The sequence below is a fragment of the Homo sapiens genome, chromosome 4 (assembly GCF_000001405.40).
Source record: "Homo sapiens chromosome 4, GRCh38.p14 Primary Assembly".
In the NCBI taxonomy this organism is placed as follows: domain Eukaryota; kingdom Metazoa; phylum Chordata; class Mammalia; order Primates; family Hominidae; genus Homo; species Homo sapiens.
In genome coordinates, this window is record NC_000004.12 from 111,631,779 (window position 1) to 111,655,189 (window position 23,411).

Sequence of the window (23,411 nt, forward strand, 5' to 3'; positions counted from 1 at the left end):
ACCTTAAATAATGGTAGAAAACACTCCACCTGGTGGTAGAAGAAAAAGGGTAGCAGCTCTATGCAAAAGATCTTCAGACAAAAAGATGGAGTGAATGAACAGAATACAAGCCTAGCTAGAAACCATGTCAGATACTTCACTGCAGTTGCTGAGCATCCTAAAAGCAAAATCCAGACAGAATCTGTCTCTCTATAAATCTTTCCACCCCTTTCCATTACTAGGTGGGTACTGTTGGCTCTAAGCCATCTGATTTTACTATGATTTATTAACTGCTATGCATTATATATGAGATTCAGGTTTGCTGAAGAGTTACCCTTATGGTCATTGTTGCATACAAATCAGCTACTGTTAGAGAGGTTTATTGCATCATTTTATGCTGCTAGCACTTCTGTTAGGCAGTGGTATAATATGTAACTGGAAAAGAAAACCCCTCCTGTTATATTTTCCCTTATACGTTACTAGCACATGCAGTGCACGTTAAGAACAATAGTCTTTTGTTCTGTTCTGTTTATAAAAAGAAGAAAAAGCATCCAGAACAATGGGTGAGAAGAAACAAAAACCTGTCGCCTAAATCAAGGGATTGGTATTCTCCAAATCATTGCTACCGCATTGAGCCATTTTCTCTGGTAAGACCAACTGAAACGTGAGAAAGAGCAATAATGTGAGCAAAACCAATTTACTCTTGGTAGGAAATTGGAAAAAACGGTAGCAGAGATCTAAGCAGATCTGTCTCTGAAATAAGCTACCACAAAACAGTATTTCCACACTCTTTTTACATTGAGACATTCGATTAACTAAGTAATTCAACTCGAATTTCTAGCCCAGCTCTCAGTACAATGACTTGACAGCTTGCCTTTAGCACTTCGCTTGTATGTTTGCTCATAACTGGCATAAACAATCAAGACAAAAGCAACACATTACCTAAATGGCCTTGGTTTACCTGCAACAAAAGGCAGAATGGATATTGTCTTACATACCCAGCAGAAAGGGAAAAGGCATGGCTGACCATATTTTTTTTTTTTAAAGCAGGGGAAGGAGGGCTGTTTTCCTTCCTTTCTGAAATTTTGCCATGTTACTCTAACTGCAAGCATTGCTATCAACTTCAATGTGGCATATGTTATTAAGTGTTTCTGAAGAAAGACATTAGTATTAGGTAACAGCATTATGACTAAGAAGAATGAGTCAAATATTCTGCACTCCCAGCTTTAGTAAGACTTCTGCAGGCATACTAGAAACATCTACTGAGATATATGTAAAATGACTTTAGAATCTCAACAATGTAGATATAAATACATGTTTGTATTTCTGTTTTAAAAATTTTGTGTAAGTCATCCTTGAATGCATTTCCTAATATTTTTAAATAGCTTGATTTCCTCTTAACTAATTGCGTGGCATGGTGAAAAAGTTTTCAATGTAGTTTAGTATAAAACCATTTATTGGATTCCCACTGTGTGCCTACTGATAACTTTTAAGCATAACAGAGATGAATGGTTGTTAGTTGAGCTCAGAGATTCTTAATGTCTTCAAGTCTCTGATTTTTATAGAAATTTTCCATGTATAATGAGTTTTATCTCACAAAAACTGCCAGAGAGAGGAGATGCTTAGAAGGAAAATGAGACCTTGAAGAAGGAGAGGGCAGACAACATGAACCAAGAGAGTAAATTGTTCTCCTGCATGGGTAACTTTGAAAAGTATCAATGATAGGTTATACTAAAAAAAAAAAAAAAATCCATATTCTATGATGTCATCAATGCCTTGAAACTCAAGACTTTTCCAGTTTCCTGGATCAATGGCTTGAGAAATGTCCTAAATACAGGGTCACAATTTTGTGTGATAACCATCCCATATCCCCCCTCTGCCCCCGAAATTTTCCTTTAAGGGGGATATTGTTTTCCTTCCCAAAGGGTATATGATTCGGAGATGTGGAAAACGCATCTCCTGAAAAGAAACTATTAATTGGCATATGATATTATTATAAGGCTTTATTTTCCTTTGGAAAAAACCCAAAAACCAAAGAATTACCAATTTTTAAACGATTTTCAAAATGAGTAACTGAAAAATCTCAGAAGCAACCCCCAAACTATTGCGTCACGCAGTTTGTGGGTATTTTAGTGTCTTTTTAAAAATCAGTGTGTATGATCTCTATTTTCTGGGTGACTAACATTAATTAAAATGAACTGCACAATCAGAGAGTGAAGATAAATATGCACCGCTTATTCCAGTTTTTCTTTCTTCCAATGACACTATTTAGACTGATAAACATCACTTGGCCTTGGCAATCTAGACGCACAGGCCTGTGAATAAGCCCTAATTAAGTTAAGTGGTATCTCTCCAAGGACATCTGCTACCAAAAGTTTCAAATATCCACAACAAAACATAATATTCCTACCTCCAGAAACATGATTAATATAGAAATATTTTTCTCCAAAAGGGTAAAGTTAGGATTTGAGATATTGCTTCCTTTATTTTAGAGCTACAAAACTTCCAGTCTTATGTCACTTCTTTTTTTCTGTTTCAGTTATTTACATCGTCTTACTCCCCACACAGTTTGACAGGTATAATTAAAATGAATGTAAACAATCAAACAGAAAAGCATTATTATGCAGTAGAGGCTGGAAGAAAATCTAACATTTTTTTTTCTCTTTGGTGAGGAAGTGGCTTAGTTAAACTTTCCCTCGACCTCTATTGATTTATGATACACTTCCTTTCAGATGGTGTCTCTACAAAGCAAAGTGAAATGGACGGTTTTCCAGCTAATTTGTTTTGTATGGACAGCCAAGCTGGACACTTGCAGACCACAAAGTCTGTGAATGAGAACCTGGGAGCTGACATGAGAAGAATTGAGCTGGAGCCTTTTGCCATCACTGAATAAATAACTTACCCTCTTGAATCCTTACCTGTACAACTGGCATGAGACACCAGCCTGCCTTTCACACAGCTTGTGATCTAATAAGATAATGCTTATGTACCTGTTTTAATATAAATAGACTGATATTAAAATGGCACATAACACAATCATTTTTACTACATCAGTCTTCATTATAAATTATTTTATATGTATTGATAGGACTGAGTTGCTAGATTTTCAAATGAATGTTTGATGAGTTACACCAAGATAATACAAGCATTTTTAATATTTATAGACAAAAAAGTTTATTTTTCATATTTCTGATGATGAGAGAAAGATTCTTATTTTGTCTGTTATTAAATAAGCTGGATGTACACAAGTTTTCACATTTTCTGATTAAAAAAAGATTTTAAAAGAAAAAAAATGTTAATCAAATGCCCGTATGGGGAGAAGTAAAATTTTTGTTGTGGCAAAGTTAAAGTGCACCTCTCTCAACAACACTGAATTTTTGCAAACACTGAGTATTTACTTGGTTCAGCCAATGTTAGTTGTAAGTTTAAGGTAATTATAGTACTTGAATGGTATAGAGGAGGATAGCTATTACAAATTGGGGGAGAAGGAAAGGAACTTCAGTGGTCTCGGAAAATTTAAGACAGAATTTGACCGTTCTTGTTTTTTAAAAACACGATGCCCCATCATCCTTTGATCCACCAGTAAGAATATGAAGCTGCACCCCACAAGCTACATAGCATAAGGTGATTTAATGCATTGTCTATATTTTATACTATATTACAATGCAGCTTACACATATTCAAAACAATTGTTAGGCTACAGCTTTGTCACATTGTGCATTATTTACAATCACTTGTAAATCCAGAAAAATACACACGCGGAGAAATGAAAGCAGGAGGTAGAGATTGTTTTAATGTGATTATATTGGCATCTGATATGATAGTGCTTTGGACCATATTGACATGAGTGAGGATTCTAAGTAGCAACTGTTCAATACCATCCGTTGGACTTCTCTGATAGACCACTTAACTATCTCAGCTTTTCCAGTGATCATCTCATTTATCTAGGATTATTGCACTGAATTTACTGTTTGGTTTTCTTCCAGAACTGAAATGTCAAGTCCAGTGTCATGTATGCAGTAGCTTTGTGCTGTGAGAGCTTCACAGATCCCCCAAAAGCTGCTAGCAGTTGATCTTTGGATAGAGCTAGAAATAAATAAATCCTCTTTAGCAGATCAATATTCATCCCATTTAATGCTTGATGTGAAACTTGTGGATTTGTGGTGGTAATGCTGATGTACAGCTAATCGTTGAAAATGGGCATTAGGGCTTTTATAGCATGGCAACATATTGTCAGGCAGGAAGGGAAAGAAGTGGAAAACACAGCCTGGAAAAAAAATATGGTAAGTTTATATAAATTTGCTGCATATTCGGAATCCACTTGGGGGGTTTTACTATGCAATACTAGAAGCTAATAATGTGGACAACAAACAGATCTGCTCTGTAAAAGAAATCTCTGTGGCCTTTCCTTGGTTTGCCACTCTTTGTTAGACTATGTATAAAAATGATGTATCTAACTCGTTTTGAGACCCTGGTGTTAAAGAAATCGATACTGAAAATTTTTTCTTTTGTTGATTGTTACAAGTTTCAATAATTACAGCACAAAAACCAGTTTCACATTAAAAACTATAACTTGGAGAAACAATGGAGTTTTCACACTAGAAATTCATACTAAAAATTTTAAAAAATGAATGAGAGTTTCATACTCAAAAGAATGGAGTATAAAACCGTGTCCTGAATAAACTCAAACTGACAAGAAAGACATCCTGCTAGTGAGAGAAGTTGAAAATATGGCTAGTGCCAATGGCTATTTTTTTTTCTAGTCGTTGGTGTGAGAGTCATGTCACACATTTCTTAGATTGCAAGAGTAAAATTTATCCTTTTCAATTCTACAATTTTATTTTTTGCTATAGATATATGATAATTCCTACTGTCATGGTGTCAGATAAAGCAAGCTGGTGCCCGGCATTCTTTGCATGCAATAACTTTTAGCCCGACCACATAAGCTGTAATACAGACACTTGTGGTCATCAATGGTATATTTTCAACCCATATTTCTTGATTATTAATTTAATATAATGCAAGCAAAATGTGCATATGATCCTTGTGTGAAAACTTTGACTTCTCAATGTTCTTACAGATTCAGGCTGCCCCTGCTGAATTTTAGAGAGCGTCAAAACTTATTGGTTAAAGGGATGCCTTTATGAGTAAAACATGAGAAATATTCACTTACTGTAAGTATTGAAACTAGAGAACTGATATTGATTTGTTTTCCCTGGATAAATGATATTCTTTCTTAAATAGGTTTCCTTTACATTTACTGAGAAATGAAACACTATAATCTTTACATGGTGGGAGAGGTCGTTAAGCCTAAAATATGCAGAGTAACATCTGCTGGGTACAGATATTTGGGGGACTTCTCAGAAGTGTCAGCTTCCGTTGTGCAAGTCCTAAACTTTACAACTGATTAATATTTTCCCCTGGTAAGGGATCTTGGGCAGTCACAGTTCCCCTGGTTTGCAAAGGCTGACAGATGAGCAAGGAGGTCATGGTCACAAGATAATGTTTATCTGGTGAAGAGTAAATCAGTAAACAGGGGAGGAAAGGTATGTTTATGCTGGAGGCCATGGAAGTTGGGAAACAGTAATGTGCAAAGCAGAAGATAACAATTGGGAAAGTGTGTGTGTGGGTGTGGCTGCAATAGTATACACCTGTGAGTTCATGCACATACATGCAGAAATACATCCAGTTAATCTGGATATGCCAAGAGGCATAATAATATATGAATGTATAAGCAGAGACACAATCCATTATGTTATGTGTTGATGTGTGTGTGAGTGCATATATACAAATGGGATATCTTAGTCCTCTTCTAGGGCTTGAAAAGACAAATGTATTTAAAAATATCTGTCCTGAAAGTAAAAACCTTAAAGTTTGTATTAATTCATGAATAACTGAATAACAAACACAGAAGGTAGGGTGTCTTCTTTCTACCTTTATATTTTGAGGTTGATATCAGAGAAGATGAACAGCCTTTTGCTCTACACAGCAAACCTTTTTAACCTGAAGAATGTTGTGCTGATTGACCTACTGTGACAATTCTCACATACATCTAAAATGATACATAAGTCAAGGATTTTGTAATTTTCAATCCAGAAATTAAATATTTTCCAAGTTCTGGACATTTCATTTATAGGAGATTATTATTAGGAACGTCACAGTTGGCACATTATTTGATATACTGGGTCATTAGAAAACTAGTAAGCAATACTATTTCACAATAGTTATTCACTATATTTATTATTATTCACAATTAATAATGTAACCATTATTCACAATAGTTACATTCTCCCACTTGAGTTCTGGAAAGTACTATTCATGTAGCTTCTCAGGAATAAAGAGAAAATATGTCCCCAAGCACAAGTGGAACAACTTGCTTCATATTCTCCTCTCAGTTACCATGTTGCTCATCTAAAGAGAAGATTTCGAAGAATTTTTTAAAAAGCAGATGTTACTAGGTTTACCATTTTCTGTGTGCTGGCTACTCAGAATCCAAGATACAAATGATGCATTTGCCCTTATGATTTTTCTCACTGATTTAACAAATAGTTATTGAACACATTTTGTGTGCTAGCCAAGATGTGGCTCTTGGTCAAGATGTCACACCTCTTATTTTCGCTTTTCCTTTAGTCCCTGAAACATTGGTATGTATGTGCATATTTTTCAGATGTCCATATTTGTCAACCAAATCATTTGTGGAGCAATATCAAGTATAAATAATACAAAGATGGTTGGGGTGGTGAATGGGTGAACAATTAAAGCATATTCTATCAAGACATGCATATGGATACATGGATATATAGACAGCCAGTGGGTAGTGTGAAGAGACTTATGTTATTATGGGTTCCTGGCTACTCACAAACCGCAGAGTTTTGCCAATTCTCCTAGATCAGAACCCACTAGGTGAGCAACAGATTACATTCTTCTATGGGAAACAAAAACTATCCAGGCTGCACTACTTACAGAAAGAAGCAGGGTCAGCTTCCTAAATTAGAGAAAATAAGACCTAAATTTTTACTAGAAATTAAGTAATTTGAGCACCCACATGTAGGTAGAAAGGTAAATTAAAGGGAAAATTCAATAACTCAGAAACTCTCCTTAGAGAGGGCTAGAGAGGAAAAATGTATGTAGAATACATTTATGTTGTTCAGAATATGTGTGCTTATTATAGAACCGAAAATCAGGTTATAGTCAGGGAGTAAGCCCTTCAGCCTATCTCTCTGGAATGAAAGGCTTCAAAGGTAATATATTACCCTGAACAATGCATTGTTTGATAATGTGTCTTCCAGGGGATTTAGAATCATTAAATGATGGAATCACATAATTTTATGTGGGGTTGGGATTCAACCAACCGCACCTAAAATTAGTTGGGGTTCAACTTTCTAAAAGTTCTAATCAAACCAGTGGTGAAATCATGATAGTGAGGTGAGAACTAGGATTGTTTCTCACCAATATTTCAGACTGAATTTCTCACTCATTTCAGACCAAATGAGTCCATTTTCTAGAAGGGTTTCTATTGTGAAATGTCTTCCACGGACTAATGTACACAAGGGAGACTTGGCCTTGTGAGTCACTGGCAGACGGATGCTTTATCAGTGTATTTTGTCTGTGCAAATATAATTTATCATATTTTAACTAAAATTTGCCAGAAGAAATACTATTTAAATGTGGAAGTTCATCACTTTACCTCACTTCCACTAATCCTTGTTAAAATATTATAAATAACGTAGAGCTTAGAGTTGCAAAACAGAGACCTAACAAGACTTAACCAAAAATCTTTTGTAAAAGATTCAAGTAAAACCTTACAACAGATAACTAAACCAACATGCTTTGATCCACATGAATTATCTATAGTCTTTATCCTTATCTTTAAAAAATGGGGAAGAAAAAAAATCCTCATATTTTAAGCAGATTATTTTATAGAGGCTTTTCTCAAAAAAAAAAAGAAAGAAAGAAAGAAAATGTCCTTTGAGATTTCAAGATATTTCTGTAAGTAACTCTTTTCTAAAGAGAGTTTGATTTGCTCTAGTTTTATGAACCTGCAAGGACTTTTCATCGCTGGAATATGCACAGGTTACTTGCAAAGCTCCTTGAAAAGATTTGTGCCCTCTTTTTATGAAGACAATGAATGAGTAGGAATTTTATACCACAGACAATGAGCGAGAGACAGGAAGACACTTTGATGTTCAAATAATTCGACAAGTTTTGGCATTCTTAAAAAATAATGAAAAGGATCTTTGCCGAAATTTTATTTTGTTTTTGTTCTGTCTTCAGTTCAATAGGCGGGTTCAGGCAGGAAGTACAGCCTGAGCGACTCAGCCAGATCTAGAGGGATTAGTTACAGCAAGAAGGCTGTTGTGTGAATCTGAGTCACTTTTTTTTTCTTTTATAGCAATTCCAAAGAAAAATTCACACAAACTAAGCGTGCCCAATCCTATCTTTATGATACCTATATCTGGTCAAAACTTTAGGTGATTTTAACATAAAATCACCTAAAAATCATTTGCAACTTTTTGTAATTATCGTTGTATGGCAATGCTTTATTGGACTCTATAGACACAGGATTTTTTTATTTCTGAATAAAATGTGATTTCAGTCATAATATTACATAAAATATTTAGTTTGATTTGGGCTTTGTGCTTTCTCACTATGGTGTCAATTGTTTTTAGAGGTAAGCAATTTGTAAGGACTGGAAGTAGAAATTAAGCAACCAAGACAAGAAGGCTGTCCTATCAGTTTCAAGAACAACTAAGAGGATGTTAAAGGTGATGTTGTGATCTAAATTTTCTACATGTTTTGTAACTGAACTATGTGTGAAATAAAAATTAATTTTCAAAAATATGTTTCTAATTAATATTATTCCAACTTGGGGGAATAAAATCCCTCCTTTGAAATCTACCAAAACAAAAAATCTGTTCTAAAATATTAGTGAAGATTTTTGTCTGCTATGTCTAAAGTTGCATTACTCACTGAAGTTTACCATTTTGTCTTCTGCATGCCAAGTAACCCTCAAAGTCTAGAGCAGGCATCAGGCAAATGAACCAACTTAATTAAAAAGTTAATTCTCCAAATTTTAAGCCCTATTTTTTTTCACATTGTGTTTTTATTGTATTTGTTTGGAAACGTTCTCTGACTATGGGGTCATGGATTATAACGTTTTAATGGTAAGCAAATCAATGTTAATAGTTTTATAATTTTTTTTCCAAATTTTGGTCCCAGACTATTTTACAAATATAGCAATGTCAGTGGTACAAAGAATGCTTATATTCAAAACCTCATGTTACAAAAAGAGCTTAGAACATTGGTTTTCTCCCACGAAAACCCCACCACTGATAATGTTAGGAGTAACCCAAAGGATCAGACAACATATCCATTTAATGTATATACTGCATAGAACATTTCTTTTTTCTGCCTCATCATTTACCCATTAACTAAAGTTCCATAGTTAATCATTAGTTATTAACACTTAGAAAACTCACTTGGCCAATTAATAAAAACAGCTCTATTATTGTTGTTACAAAAGCTTGAATATCCCATTTAGTAATATTCACTCTACTAAAATGGAGCTGATAAATTTTAACATTTCAAGAATTTCCAAAATTTTGTTTGAAATTGTAGTTTGTGTTTGGCTTGAAGATATAAAGGCCAACACAATTTGTTAATATGTGGCATTAGGACAAACCCTGGTAGGAAAGTAAAGAATGAGAATATTTACTGGAAATTAAAATGCATACTAGTTGTATAATTTGCTAACTGCTTTGCTACAGAAATTGGACAATATTCGGTATGTAGCAAGATACATTGCAAGCTAAAAATACTTTTTTGGCAATTACCCTGCTATTTAATATAAAAGTAATTTTAGAAAAAATAATTATCAAGATAATTGCCTCAATATGTATCTCTGCATGTGCAGAAACATATGACCTCATTTATTTTTATTCTGTTAGATAACTAAGCAAACTCTTAAGAGTTTGCCAAAACCTATTCTCTGTCTTCACTTAAAATGAAGTAAAAAAAGTATAATGAAAATAACTTGGATCAAAGATAGTTGTAGGAGCCAAGCAAGTAGTGTCTTCCTCTTCCTTCCCTCTTTCCCATCTAGCGTACACACACTCACACGCACACCCACACGCACAAAAACACATGCACTCACATCCCAAGTATTTTGATTCTTTAAACTAATCACCATTGTTTACAGTTTCAATAGCTATGTGTCATTCTCGCCTATTACTGTACAATGCGCAGGTACTATTTGATTTTATTTGCCTACCTGGTCATTGTAGAAGTAACATTTGTTAGAAACTACCTATAGAAGCATTTAAGTCTTGCTCAACTTGTTTGCTATCTTTTCTTGTAATCTTGTGGGTAGTGAAGTTAAATAGATCTGGAGCTGCAATATTATGCAATAATATTTAGAATGTAATTGCACAACAATTGTGACATTTGGGGTCAACGCATTCACATCTGTTTTCTGGTCTAAAAGGACAGCAGAGGGAGCCCCTGCATGACTTAAGAAAACCGAAGGCAGGCAGAACAGAGACTTTTCAGGGTGCGAAGTTACGCATGGTGCCCTCTACTGGAGTCACTGGTAAAGAGTTTTGATTTCAAAAAGAAATTGGTAAGCACTGAATTCCAAACTTGATCACAGCATACTTTACTACCAGTCATCATAAGGGGTGTAGCAGTATGTTCAAAATAAAATTGATTTTAATTACTTTTGATTTTAAAAATAAATATAGGCCTTACATTTCTTACATGAAGTTTGGGGTTGAGAAATCAAATTTCTGTGGAAATTCCACTTTTCCAAAATTTCTATCATTCTGAATTGTCACATTAGTTTCTCTCCATGACTATATAACTCCTATATATTTAGAATCCTAATATGAACTGTACAAACCATGCCATTCATGTGACAATAATATAAGTGTAGCATTGTAATGTGAAATAATTTTGCAGTGAGTGAAATAATTCATTTAAGAGAGTTCTAAATCAAGGGTTGTACTGACTGACACAGTTAAAAACTGTATTTTCCTTGTGATAGTTCAGCAATAATCCCATTACTGAATATTATTTCAATTTCTACTTGCTTTTCAATTCCTTTGAAGAACCATTCGAAAGTACGTATCTTTTATTTGAGTGATTGGTAATAAAATTACTTTAAATTTCACTGTAAATATATAATTACTAATTATAAATAAGAAATTATCAATTGTAATTTGCACTGAGAACCAACAAATTTCTAGATACTTTTTATAATATTGTGTTGGATGTGTAATCGTTTGCAAATAAGTCCACTTTTGCCAACCGCTTGTCAGTTAATTCTGTCTGTTACGTTTAAATACCATGTAGGAAAGTATTAGTGTACTTTGATTTAAAACTATAATAATCTTGAAAAATAATGTTCTTCATTAATATTTTATGATGATCTTATGACTATTAAAATGATCAGTTTATATGAAATAAACCAGATATTTAGCAGCAAATAATTTATGTGATATTTTGCTTCCAGTTTTGACTGGACTGGTCATTTTGGTATTAAGCATTTTTAGCCTAAATTTATGACATTTCTTTCAAATTTCAGAAAGAAGAGCTTGTCTAGGCATACATTACTCTGTGCTTTGTGAAATTTATATTAAGAATATAAATTATAAATTTTTGAAATTTATATTTAAAAGTCTACTTATTTTATAATACTTCACAAACTTCATGATTCTTATATTGTAAATTATAGGGCAGAAATTTAATCTAATTACTATATTCCTCTTATTACCCTTAGCTTTTTCTAACAGTTAAAATACCAATAAACTAAGAATTAATGCAAAATACATAAAATTATATAATAATATCACACAATCCACTTTAATTGAAGACTTATTTTTGATGTACATTAAATAGTATGTATAAAGATGAGGAATTAAAATTTGGTAACCATGGTTAATTTGCCAAGGACAAATTAACTGTGAGTAAGCAAGGATAAAACTCATTCTGACACTAGAGTTTGCTTTCCAAATCTTCCACATCCAAACATTACAACTGAAAGGAGTGGGGAAAGAATTTATTTTACAGAAGTGTCCATTACAGTTAATTCCATTAGAAAATAATTAATTTGATTTTGAATATATCATTTGAAAAAGTTCCACACCTTGAAAGAAGTATCGTTTTATGTAACAAAAGGAACTATCTAAAGAATGAATCTTATATTAAATTCAAAGGAGTGGCATATACAACACACAATTGTAACCAAACACAGCAGTTGTGACCAGTTAATGGGAAAAATTTCAGCATAGTCACCATACATTTTTAAAAAGAGGGAGAGAAGCCAGTGTTCATCTTCATCCAACCTAGCATCAACCAAAGAAAATTTTTGAGGTTGGCCGGGAGCAGTGGCTCATGCCTGTAATCTCAGCACTTTAGGAGGCTGAGACGAGTGGATCACATGAGGTCAGGAGTTCAAGACCAGCCTGACCAACATGGTGAAACCCCGTTTCTACTAAAAAAAAAAAAAAAAAAAAAAAAAAAAAAAAAAAAAAAAATTAGCTGGGCATGGTAGTTAATGCCTGTAATCCCAGCTACTTGGGAGGCTGAGGCAGGAGAATCGCCTGAACCCAGGAGGCAGAGGTTGCAGTGAGCCAAGATTGCGCCACTGCACTCCAGCCTGGGCAACAAGAGCAAAACTCCTTATCAAAAAAAAAAAGAAAACAAAAACAAAAACAAAAAAAACACACAAAAATCAGAAATTTATGAGCTAATTTGAATTACCTCCTATGTTCTGAGCAGTTTAAATGCTTTAGTTTTATTAATTAATTTAACCCCCAAACAATCCTGAAGGCCATTATTACCCCATTTTTTCCAGATAAGACAACTAAAGTACAAATTTTTTTTTAAAATGGCCACGTTGAATAACCTAAACTAGTATTCAAGCCCAAGTCTGACTCTAGAGCTCTTGCTCTATTATGATTTCATCATCATAATTATTTTTAAGAAGTGCCTATTATTGAAGTTTTAATCTCAAAACTTCTGAATTATAAAACACAGTAAATAAATTATAGTAAAACCTAATTCATGCTGTAGCATTCCACAGCTAGTGTATGTCTCAAAAAAGAATCTATACTGAGACTACTGAGGCTATAAGTCAAATGGCTTTCTTTCTGACAACATCATAAACTTCATCTGGAATCTGAAAATAAAGCCACTCTTTTCCTCTTGCACTGTCGTGAGTCATGTAGTTTTTTTCCTTGGGACTTGGAGGTAGGGCAAGGTGGAAAACTCCACAGTCTACTTGAGAGAAACAGCCCATTAGGGGAAAGACCTGGATAGTTCTAGTCAGGTTAACTCTTTCCAAAACTATTTTTTTTTCTTTTCAGTAATATTTCTGCTTTGAAATCTTCCCCCAAGGCTAGTGCAAAGTGGAGAGACCACTAATATTTTTGCAAATGACTTTTCATGAAACCGACATTCTAATTCCTGCTTACCTCTTTAGTTTTTTCTCTAGCTTCTGATTGCTCAGTCTTGAATCCTGGATCCCTCACTTACTAGTTCTATGAGCATAAGAAAGTATTTAATTTCTCCCTATAACAGCTTCCTCATCTATACATTAAAGGTAGAAACAGTATATATTTGATAAAGTTATTATAAGGGTCAAGTGAGGTTGACATGTAAAATGCTTAAAATAGTTTTCAGCATTTAGCAATGCTCACTCAATAAATATTAAATATGTTTTAAAATTGGAAGAACCAAGATTTGCAGTGTAATTAAAAAATCCATATATTAATACAAACTTTTTAAAAAATTTTTCAGACGTAGAATTTGTTCTTGTTCCATTGTATTGGTGAAGAAACTGAAGTTCAAAGTAATTGGCAGAACATACTACTTTGGGCAGTATGGGAGTAGAGGCCTATGGACGACCAGCAACAGGTAAAGACTAATTAGGGGGTATTTCCAAAGAATGATTTTTTTCTTTATTTGATGAGAGAGATACATGCTATGTCTTCAGTTGTCCATATTTTTAAAAATAATTTGATATTTTTCCTTATTCAGATAATATTACCTTATGTGGAAATCATTCCTTCTTTTTTTTTTTTTTTTTTTTTTTTTGAGACAGAGTCTTGCTCTGTCGCCCAGGCTGGAGTGCAGTGGCGTGGTCTCAGCTCACTGCAAGCTCCGCCTCCCAGGTTCACACCATTCTCCTGCCTCAGCCTCCCGAGTAGCTGGGACTACAGGTGCCCACCACCATGCCCGGCTAATTTTTTGTATTTTTAGTAGAGATGGGGTTTCACTGTGTTAGCCAGGGTGGTCTCGATCTCCTGACCTCGTGATCCACCCGCTCATTCCCCTTCTTTAGTGGGAGAAAGAAATGTGCATTTAGATCTACAAATATTTTTGTGTGTTTTTGTGTATATATACACAAATACATATATTCAGAAATAAGTTCTAGCCTCATCAGTGTCATCTATCTGTAGAAGAGAGTATTTATAGAGGTTTGGCCTTGACAGTTGCGGATGTCAAAACAAAAAATGCTCTCAGCTATAGTCAGGGACCAGATTAATGCAATATCTGAATTTGGCTAACCAAAAACACAGTGTTCTCGAATTCTTCTGTGTAAGTTGTGTTATGGCCTTAGATAACCTGGTGGCAATTTAAAGAACATCAGTTATAAAGTCATACAGGTAGAAGTTCAAATCTTGAATCCACCACTTACTATATACAAAGCTAATTGCATATTTTTGGGCAAATTATTTAACCTCCGAGGGCTGCAATTTCTTTGCCAACAATCCATGCCTCATAGGAACACTAAATGTGAGCATGTGCCTAAGACACATATTACAGAGCCGGCAGATGATAGCTGTTGGAATTTGAGTTGATTTAAGCATTAAAGAGCAGGCTGAGGTAGAACATCCCAAACATGAGATTCTTTAAGTCTATGAATCTTTGAGTCCTGACATGGAGCTTTCTATCTAAACTCAAAATGTATGCCTACCTTGTGTAATTTAAAATCCCCACTCTGCATGTGATGAATAGAATCATCCAGATGTGGTCAGTAAATTATGAAAAATCACTTAGTCCTTTCTGCTGAGAGAGGTAAAGAGGTTGTCCCAAATATCATATTTGCCAAATATTATGCTTATTGCTTTATTAAATTTATCCCTGCTAATGTATTCATATAAGTAAAGCACCCAAGCCTGCTTCATCGCTGATGTGAGTATCAGCAGACACAGCAATATCAACAAAATAACTCTATGCGATTACATTCCCTCCCATACTCAAATTAACCCAAGGATTTTTGGATACCATGAGGAAATGTACATACACGGATTAATATGGCTTCTGTGATTAATAGATGTAATGGGCTTGGGCGGGGAGGAGAAGGAGAGTGTGTCAGGAGGGAGGAAAATTTCTCTGGGATTCTTCCCATAATTTTTAAAACACCTAATAGCCAAAGGGGTTATCTCTTTATTTCAAAACTCTCTAGTAAGTGTAATTAGATATTGAGGCCTTGGAACATGCTGCAGTCTACAAGAATAAAGTATAGACATTTTCTACTTATTTCATTTGTCTGGAACTTGAAAAATCTTTTATTTCAGCCCAGAGGGCAAAACAGGAAGACAGAGTTTGCTACCCAGGAAAATTATTAGGTACTTGTCAATTTCTTCTTGAATGATCCTCTAATAATCGCTAATGGTTATTGAACTTATTGCTGACATTATGGAATGTTACATAAGAGAGAGAAAAAACAATCTTTCTTGATTCCTTTTTGACAAGATATAGCGTTAAGTAAAAAGTTGATCCAATAATCCTCATTTTGGCTTAAAAATGTATTAATTCTCAATCAAAATAGCAATTTGAAACTTTGCCTTGACCAACTTCACATCATATATATATTATGAAAAAGTAAGAAGGAGGCCGGGAGCAGTGGCTCACACCAGTAATCCCAGCATTTTGGGAGGCCAAGGCAGGCAGATCATGAGGTCAGGAGTTTGAGACCAGCCTGGCCACCATGGTGAAACCCTGTTTCTACTAAAAACACACCAGGCACTCCAGCCTGGGTGACAGAGCAAGACTGTCTTGGGGAAAAAAAAAAAAAAAAAAAAAAAAGTAAGAAGGCAAGAAAACGGGGAAGGAATGGGAAGGGGTAAGAAGAAGGAAAAGGAAACTGAAAAAGAGAAACATAGGTCTGAAGAATAATTGTTTGTGAGAGTATCACTGAAAAACATTGCATTACGAACTTCTTTATATTATTATTTCTTATCTTAAAATTTTTTTTATTTATTAACAAAACATTTCCATTTTCAAAAACCAGTTTATTTATTCTAAGGCTAAGATACAAGGATGCTTCTCCACTGTCATTTCTTACTACTATTATTCCTTTTTTGTTCTTTTATATTTTTACCCCTAGGCTAGGGATAAGAGTGGAGATCTGAATACAAGAAACTAGTATTCAGGATACGGGTCCTGGTTGTGATTCTCTCCTAATCCTTCGTGTGACTGGAGTTATGTCGTGTGACTCTCATAAACAATGGGTTTTCCTTCTTTGTACGTAATAGTTGGCAGAAGTGGTTACGTCCTTGCCACAAGGAAAAAGTCTCATGAGATGATTAATCTAAAACTTATTTTAGAAATATAAAGGACTTTATGAATTCAAGGCAGTATATTAAGAAAATATCCCCTCAAACAATGAACCAATGAGACTGGCAAAGATCTTGATTTTCCTGATTTTCATTTAGATTCTTAACATTTGAGTCCATTGATATATTCGAAGCTCTACCCTTCTGGAAAATATCATAAGATTTGAAAAATATAGCTGCAAAGAGCAAAAGAAGATTTGCGTCTCAATAGAAAAGATCTACAGATTGAATATTGCATAGAAAACAATTTATTCACCTTACAAAGATAAAAGGATGAAAACGCCCTGAGCAGTAATAAAACTTCGCCATTTTGGGGAGGGCCTCAAGAGGCTATCTTATCAATCTTGGTCGTTGGAAAAGTATCTGTAATCTCAAAGAAAACTTTAAATACTGTCCAAGGAAAATATCCAAATACATCTTAAAATGCCACTGTTTTTTATTCTTTTGCCTTCAGTGAAAGTATCTTTGCCCATCCTTTCACATGGGAAAAATCCATTTAGAATTAGAATGTTATTGTTTACAGATTTGTTCTACATTATTAACATAACCTAATAAAATATCCTAACAACTAGTTAAAACATAATTATAATGTACTAAACATCTTAGGTTGCTTTGTAGAAAAAATCTCTCTCATATATTTGGAATATTTGAGCTTATTTAATTAAGTTTAAACCCATACAGTTTTATTTCAGAAAACCTATCTCACTGAGTAGTGCTGATAAATTAATAGGCAATTATTTGGCTATTATGTCTACACAACTTTTCGGATCATTAAATGAAACTAAATCATAAAGATTTAAATGGAAAAGAGAATGACATGACAACCAAAGAAAAAAAAAAAACAACAAGAAGAGTAAAGGAAAGTGGTTGAAGAAAGAGAGAAATGGGGAAGTAGTTGGTAAGCACCTGAGGAAGGAAAGAAGGCAGACTGACGGAGAAATGGAGTGAGTGAACCTCTCTAACCATAGGTATTTTTCTTCATAGGATTTAATCTACTCAATGAACAATTTTGACCGCTCTGGAAATAAACAAATGCTATCCTAACTCCTCTTTGCTGTAGCTTAATCTGCCTGAGAAGAGAGTAAACAGGAAATGGTCTGGGAGTCCCCAGATACTTTTCCCCAGTTTTGAGGTTGACATCTGCAGTGCAATGAAGGCATTGCAGACACCCTCAGTAGAAAGTAGGGTGTAACAGTACATTGATAGCAATTTTTTGACACTTACAAAACGTTAGTATACATAGAAATGCTGACTCCCACTAAAGAGCTAGCAGTGGTCCAGTTTTGTTACTTTTTGGAACTTAATGATAAAAAAAAAAAAACAGGTGTTTTTTCTATGGCTTGACAGGTCTTTATCAATAGGTCACTGGGCAAGGACCATGTCCATTGAGGTACTGTGAAAGATATATATTTACATACATCTCAATTGTGGCAATGTTTTTCTGATATTCAGAATTCTAATCAGAACCAGCATAACTCTTGTCAGTGTCAGAAGTTATGGGATAGGAATGAAGAAGGGAGAGTGTTGAGGGTAGGAGGTGAAGGGTGTGGAGACTAAACAGATCTTCTCCAAAGTGTATTTTGTGGAACAGGAAACTACATACGGATACTCTCTCTCTCTGCAAAACATTTTTGATCAAATAAGTTTAAGAAACTTTGGAGATTAAAAATATACATTAGCATACAGTAAGTACACATGTGACAATACTCAAAAAAAAGGTTCTGAAAACTCCCCAAAATACAGCATTTCCCAAACAATTCTGTCCAGTGGCTTTGTTGATAATATTTGGAAGCATTGCTGTTAAAGATTGCAGTTTGGTCTATGGGAGCCACATATGACTTTATGTCAACAAAAAGCAGGGCAAAATATGTCACACTGCTTAGAAGTCACCTTAATAGAAGAGAGCTCTTCACATATTTTAGCCCTAATTTTGCAAATGTAAATGCCTGGGAATTCCTGCATACTAAGGACGTCTGCATTGTCTTTAGTGTTCCTTCACTAAGTGGTCCTCAAGTCTGGCTGCACACTAGAATTCCCCTGGGGGTCTTTTTAAACATAAAAAGAGATTCCGATTTATTTGATTTGGGCTGGGACCTGACTATCAGCATTTCGAAAAGTTCTCCTGCAATTCTAGTGCTGTCAGGGTGAGAATCACAAATGTAAAAACAAATTGCGGGAATACATTTTGAGGCCAATGAAAATGTTTAGCTGATAACTAGAAGCTTTTGATCAGCCTGGTAGGCTGTGGTACGGCCTTTTGTAAAAGGTATTTGCAAATGATAGCAGCTTAGAAATCCTTTCATTCAATGCTAGCTCACCATCAGCCTTGTTCTCTTCCCTCCTAATCTTTTTTGTTTTGCTTTATGTTAGCCCTCTTGTTATGGTCTCTCCCCACACCCCACCCCATGCCTTATAGAAGAGTATTAGTGTTGTCTCCCTCTCCTTGCTGTGAGGAATCACTCACAGATGAAAACAGCTTCAGTGGTCATGCAGCTGAGGATAATTGGATTTGGTATCACCAACTGTCTAAATGCATACAGGCCAATATAAGCTGCTTCACTCTCAGCTACACTTGGGAGGCCAAAAATAGTAATTATCACAGCAGAGAATCTTATACTATTGCACATGGAGCCAACAGCCCCTCCCATTCTCACAGCACGCTACCTTTTATGGGCAATTTGCTCTCCTCCTAATTGGACATTTAGGTGGCACACAACAGCCCAGTCTCTTGTCTCAACTTGTGCAGGCTTTTTTAATTTACACACATAGTTTGCACTGGCATCTAACTTTCTTTTATTATTGTCAAACGATATCTGACTTTTTTCTTCATGCAACAACTTAACGTAAGTGTGGATTAGAGTGTCAACTCCCAACAATAAGAAACGTAGGACTGGTTTTTATCTCCTTTTTGGAGGGAGTGAGGGGAGGGCTGCTGTGCAGACAGTGTGCACTGCTGGTTTAGAGAAAATCTTTAGAGAGTCATTTTTCATTTTCCCCAGATAGTTCTGCAAACACAAAACACTGAAAATAAAACACAAAAGCTAGTATCTATTGAATGCATATGTGAGAAGGAAGACGTGAAGGGAAGTGAAGGAGAGAGAAAGGGAGTGAAGTCTGAAGGAAGGATAGGGAGAAAAGAGAAAGGTTGGCATTTGGGATGAAATGTGGAGAGCTCAGATGCCTTTACCTGAAATCCTGTTACTGAATAACTTCATAAATGCTCTTTTTAAGTTCGTGAAACCTATAGTCTGACAATTTTGCTCAAATACTGATAAAGTGATTTATTTAAAAGTGCTTCTTTCCAGAAAATCCACAAAATGGAGTCAAATGGTCTCTTCTCCACTCCCACCATCAATTTTTGTTATCTGTATCAGCAAGGGAATGATGTTTATGGTTTCTTTTCAGTCTCAACTGCATAAAGAAGAAATCTGTTTTTCATCAAGCACTCATTGACTTTTTAAAAAATACGATAGCAGAAAAAGATCAAAATATATAAAGTGAGATAACTTCTTTAAATAAGGAAATCATCTCCATATAGAAAAATTAATCAAACTGAACCGAATACCCAAATCAAAGGGGTTGAAAGGATGTAATCATCTGTTCTCACATCTCAGCATGACTAACTGGACCAACTGACATATTTCAGAACAGGATCTCTAAGAGTCTCTTGAATTTCTGGTATTGGCCTCTGAGCAAAGAAAAAGAGCTCAATATGGTTTTCTACACTTCTTTTACATACTGAAAAATCTCTTTCCATATAGTTACATCATGTTATTGCACCCCATGTACTTGATCATTCTTCTATATTTCATACTTTATTCAATTAGCATGCCAAACCAATTTATGTATCCAAGAAACACAGAAAAGTTCTATGGAACATCCTAATATTACAAATCCAATGAGAAAGGATTCTGGAACTAAGGCTTACTTTCTTAGCAGGCATTTAATCCTCAGGGAGAGCGAGCCTGGGTAGCCCTGTGAAGGGTAACGGTTCCCTCAGGCAGTATTTCTGCACCTCAGCAAAGTGCTTGAAATAGAATTTTTTTCCTTCTTAGACTTGGATGAGTCAGATGACTATTTTAATGAAGTGATGAGCTGTAGTGAGCTAATATGACTATAATGTATAATGTCATTTGGAGCACTAGTGATCTTTGAAAGAACACCACAGGAGACGACCCCCAAGTGCGGATCTAGCCATGCTGTTCATTCTCACCGTATCCTGACTTACAGCTCATCTGTTTGTCAATTGAACAGACTCTATTTTCTTATGTTTTCTCAAAAGAAACAATAAACATTATCTATTCTCCCTTTATTTACCCCCTTACTTCTCACTGACCTTAACTGGTGTGAACCCCCAAAATTTGAGACAGGCCTCAGTTAATTTAGAAAGCTTATTTTGCCAAGGTTGAGGACGCACACTCATGACACAGCCTCAGGAGGTCTTGATGACATGTGCCCAAGGTGGTCGGGGCACAGCTTGGTTTTACACATTTTAGGGAGACATGAAACATCAATCAGTATATGTAAGAACCAAGAACATTGGTTCAGTCCAGAAAGGTGGGGACAACTCAAAGCAGGGAGGGGGCTTCCAGGTCACAGGTAGGTGACAGACAAATGGTTGCATTCTTTTGAGTTTCTGATAAGCCTTTCCAAAGGAGGCAATCAGATATGCATTTATCTCAGTGAGCAGAGTGGTGACTTTGAAGAGAATGTGGAGCCTAAGGTCATTTCTACCAGCCAATAATGTGTGGCCAGGTTTTGGATGCTGGAAAACAGACAGGGACATCAGGAAATGGATACACATTAAGAGTTCCCGCACAGGGAATTAACAAGATAAAACTTGCTTTTCAGTGAATAACCTAAGAGTCATATTTAAATTATAATACAATAATGGGTACAAAAAGTACTTGAAAAGAATAAGTAAGATCTAGTATTTGACAGCACAACGGGGGGACTATGGTCAATGACAATTTAACTGTACACTTTAAAATAACTGAAAGGGTGTAACTGGATTATTTGTAACACAAAAGATAGATGCTTCAGGGGATGAATACCTAATTTTCCATGATGTGATTATTACACATTGCCTTTACCAAAATATCTCATGTACCCCATAAATATATACACCTACTATGAACCCACAATCTTTTAAATTAAACACATTTTTTAATTAAATAAATTAATAATAATAAAATGGAAAAAGACTGGTTTAAGAGACAGGAGCTATGAAATTTTTAGTATTGCAGCTATAAATGCAAATCTAAAATAGGGAAGGGAGGAGAGGGGGTGAATTAGGCTGATCTTTAAGTGAAAAATAACCTGAGAAATTAGAATATGACTGGATCTAAATAATGTGAGGCATAAATACTTCAAAACTGACTGCAAAAACAAAGGCCTTCAAAATTGAATGATTTTGTTACCAGAAATAGAGAAGTTTAAACAGACAGACAATTTGCTAGGAAGATAAATTTGATTTTAGACATTCTGGGTTTGAAATAAAGACAAAATATACAAATAAATCTAACAGCTGCCAGTAATTTCACAGTGATACTTCCATGAGAAATCAGGGCTGGAGCTGAATATGGCGTCAAAGGTAAAGGTGATATATATGAGGCTATGAGTGGGTGAGTAGTCCCAAAACTGAATACAGAGGAACTTTTACAGGGTAGAGATGCTGGAGGAGCAGGGAAAAATAAGATGCTGGATGCAATGGAAAATGAGAGTGCAGAATTAGGCAAGTCAGAGAAAGAGCGACCACAGGGAAAGGTAACATGGTGTGTTGATTTGGGTTCAGGATTTACTATTTTTAAATTTCATGAACCTTCCCTGGACATAATTTTTTGTATGTAAAATAAGGGTTTAGGATGAGATCAGCATTTCCCACAAGTTGTTCCACGTAAGATTTTAAAACCTACACGAAGCAAAGAAAGTGTCCTGTGTTCAGATATACTTGGGCAATGTTTGTTTAAACACAGTTAAACAGATTTTGTTTATCGCAGGACTTAGAATTTTTACAACACTGATTTGCACCATGAATCTCCAGCAAGAGAGATATAGTTTGCAGTATTTCCTAAGTTATTTAACAAAGGAACATTGTGTGTGTGTGTGTGTGTGTGTGTGTGTGTGTGTGTGTGTGTGTGTACATACCATCTTGAAGAATAGTGTTCCAGGGAACTATAAAAATACTAGACAGGGAGATTTCTAACGACTCTTCCAACTCCAGAATTTTATCAGGCTTAATTACATCATCTTATTTGTTTATTTATCTTTTTTTTTTAACAGTAATAAAGGCACAGAAATGTGATTATCGTTGTTAAATGTTGCCTTTGAATCCAGAAATATATATTTATTATTCCAAACTCTATTTCTGATCTCTATTTATCACTGATATACTACACTGTCAAAAATGACACATTAATATAGTTCTCCAAATGGGTTATGTTCTTACAAATTTAGTAGCTTTATTTCTGTCAAAAATAGGACTTTCATGCCTTTACACACTGGATAAAGCATCTACTTTTTTCCCTCAAAACTGACAGCTCCTAAGAATTATAAATTATAAATTACATAGCATTTTAAAAAGAAAAAAATCATTTTATGCTTTATTCTTTACTGTGTTTATCTCCGGCTCCAATGATGAAGAAAACAAACTACTTTTGCCTGACTCCTGCATTTAGCTGTAGTTCTCTCTCTCTGCCTGCTGCTGTTGATTCCAGACTGTACCTTCATTCTCAAAGATGCTCACACTCCTAGGCAGAACTAAAAATGTCCTTGGTTTGGCCTTACCCACTCTACAGACCAGGCTCAACT

The 23,411-nt window shown here is 35.0% G+C and overlaps 1 long non-coding RNA gene across 4 annotated transcripts; it reads left to right on the forward strand.

The window, feature by feature from the left end:
- Positions 1–391: 391 nt before the first annotated feature.
- LOC105377366 (uncharacterized) lies at positions 392–17,030 on the forward strand. 4 transcript variants are annotated; one of them, NR_188426.1, is made up of 6 exons: positions 392–626; positions 5,060–5,153; positions 8,649–8,744; positions 10,463–10,597; positions 13,777–13,893; positions 16,373–17,030. It is a non-coding gene; the product is annotated as an uncharacterized LOC105377366 (long non-coding RNA). The 4 variants fall into 4 exon arrangements; NR_188427.1 differs by having other exon boundaries at positions 16,701–17,030; NR_188428.1 differs by lacking the exon at positions 392–626 and adding an exon at positions 4,069–4,262 and having other exon boundaries at positions 16,701–17,030.
- Positions 17,031–23,411: the final 6,381 nt, after the last annotated feature.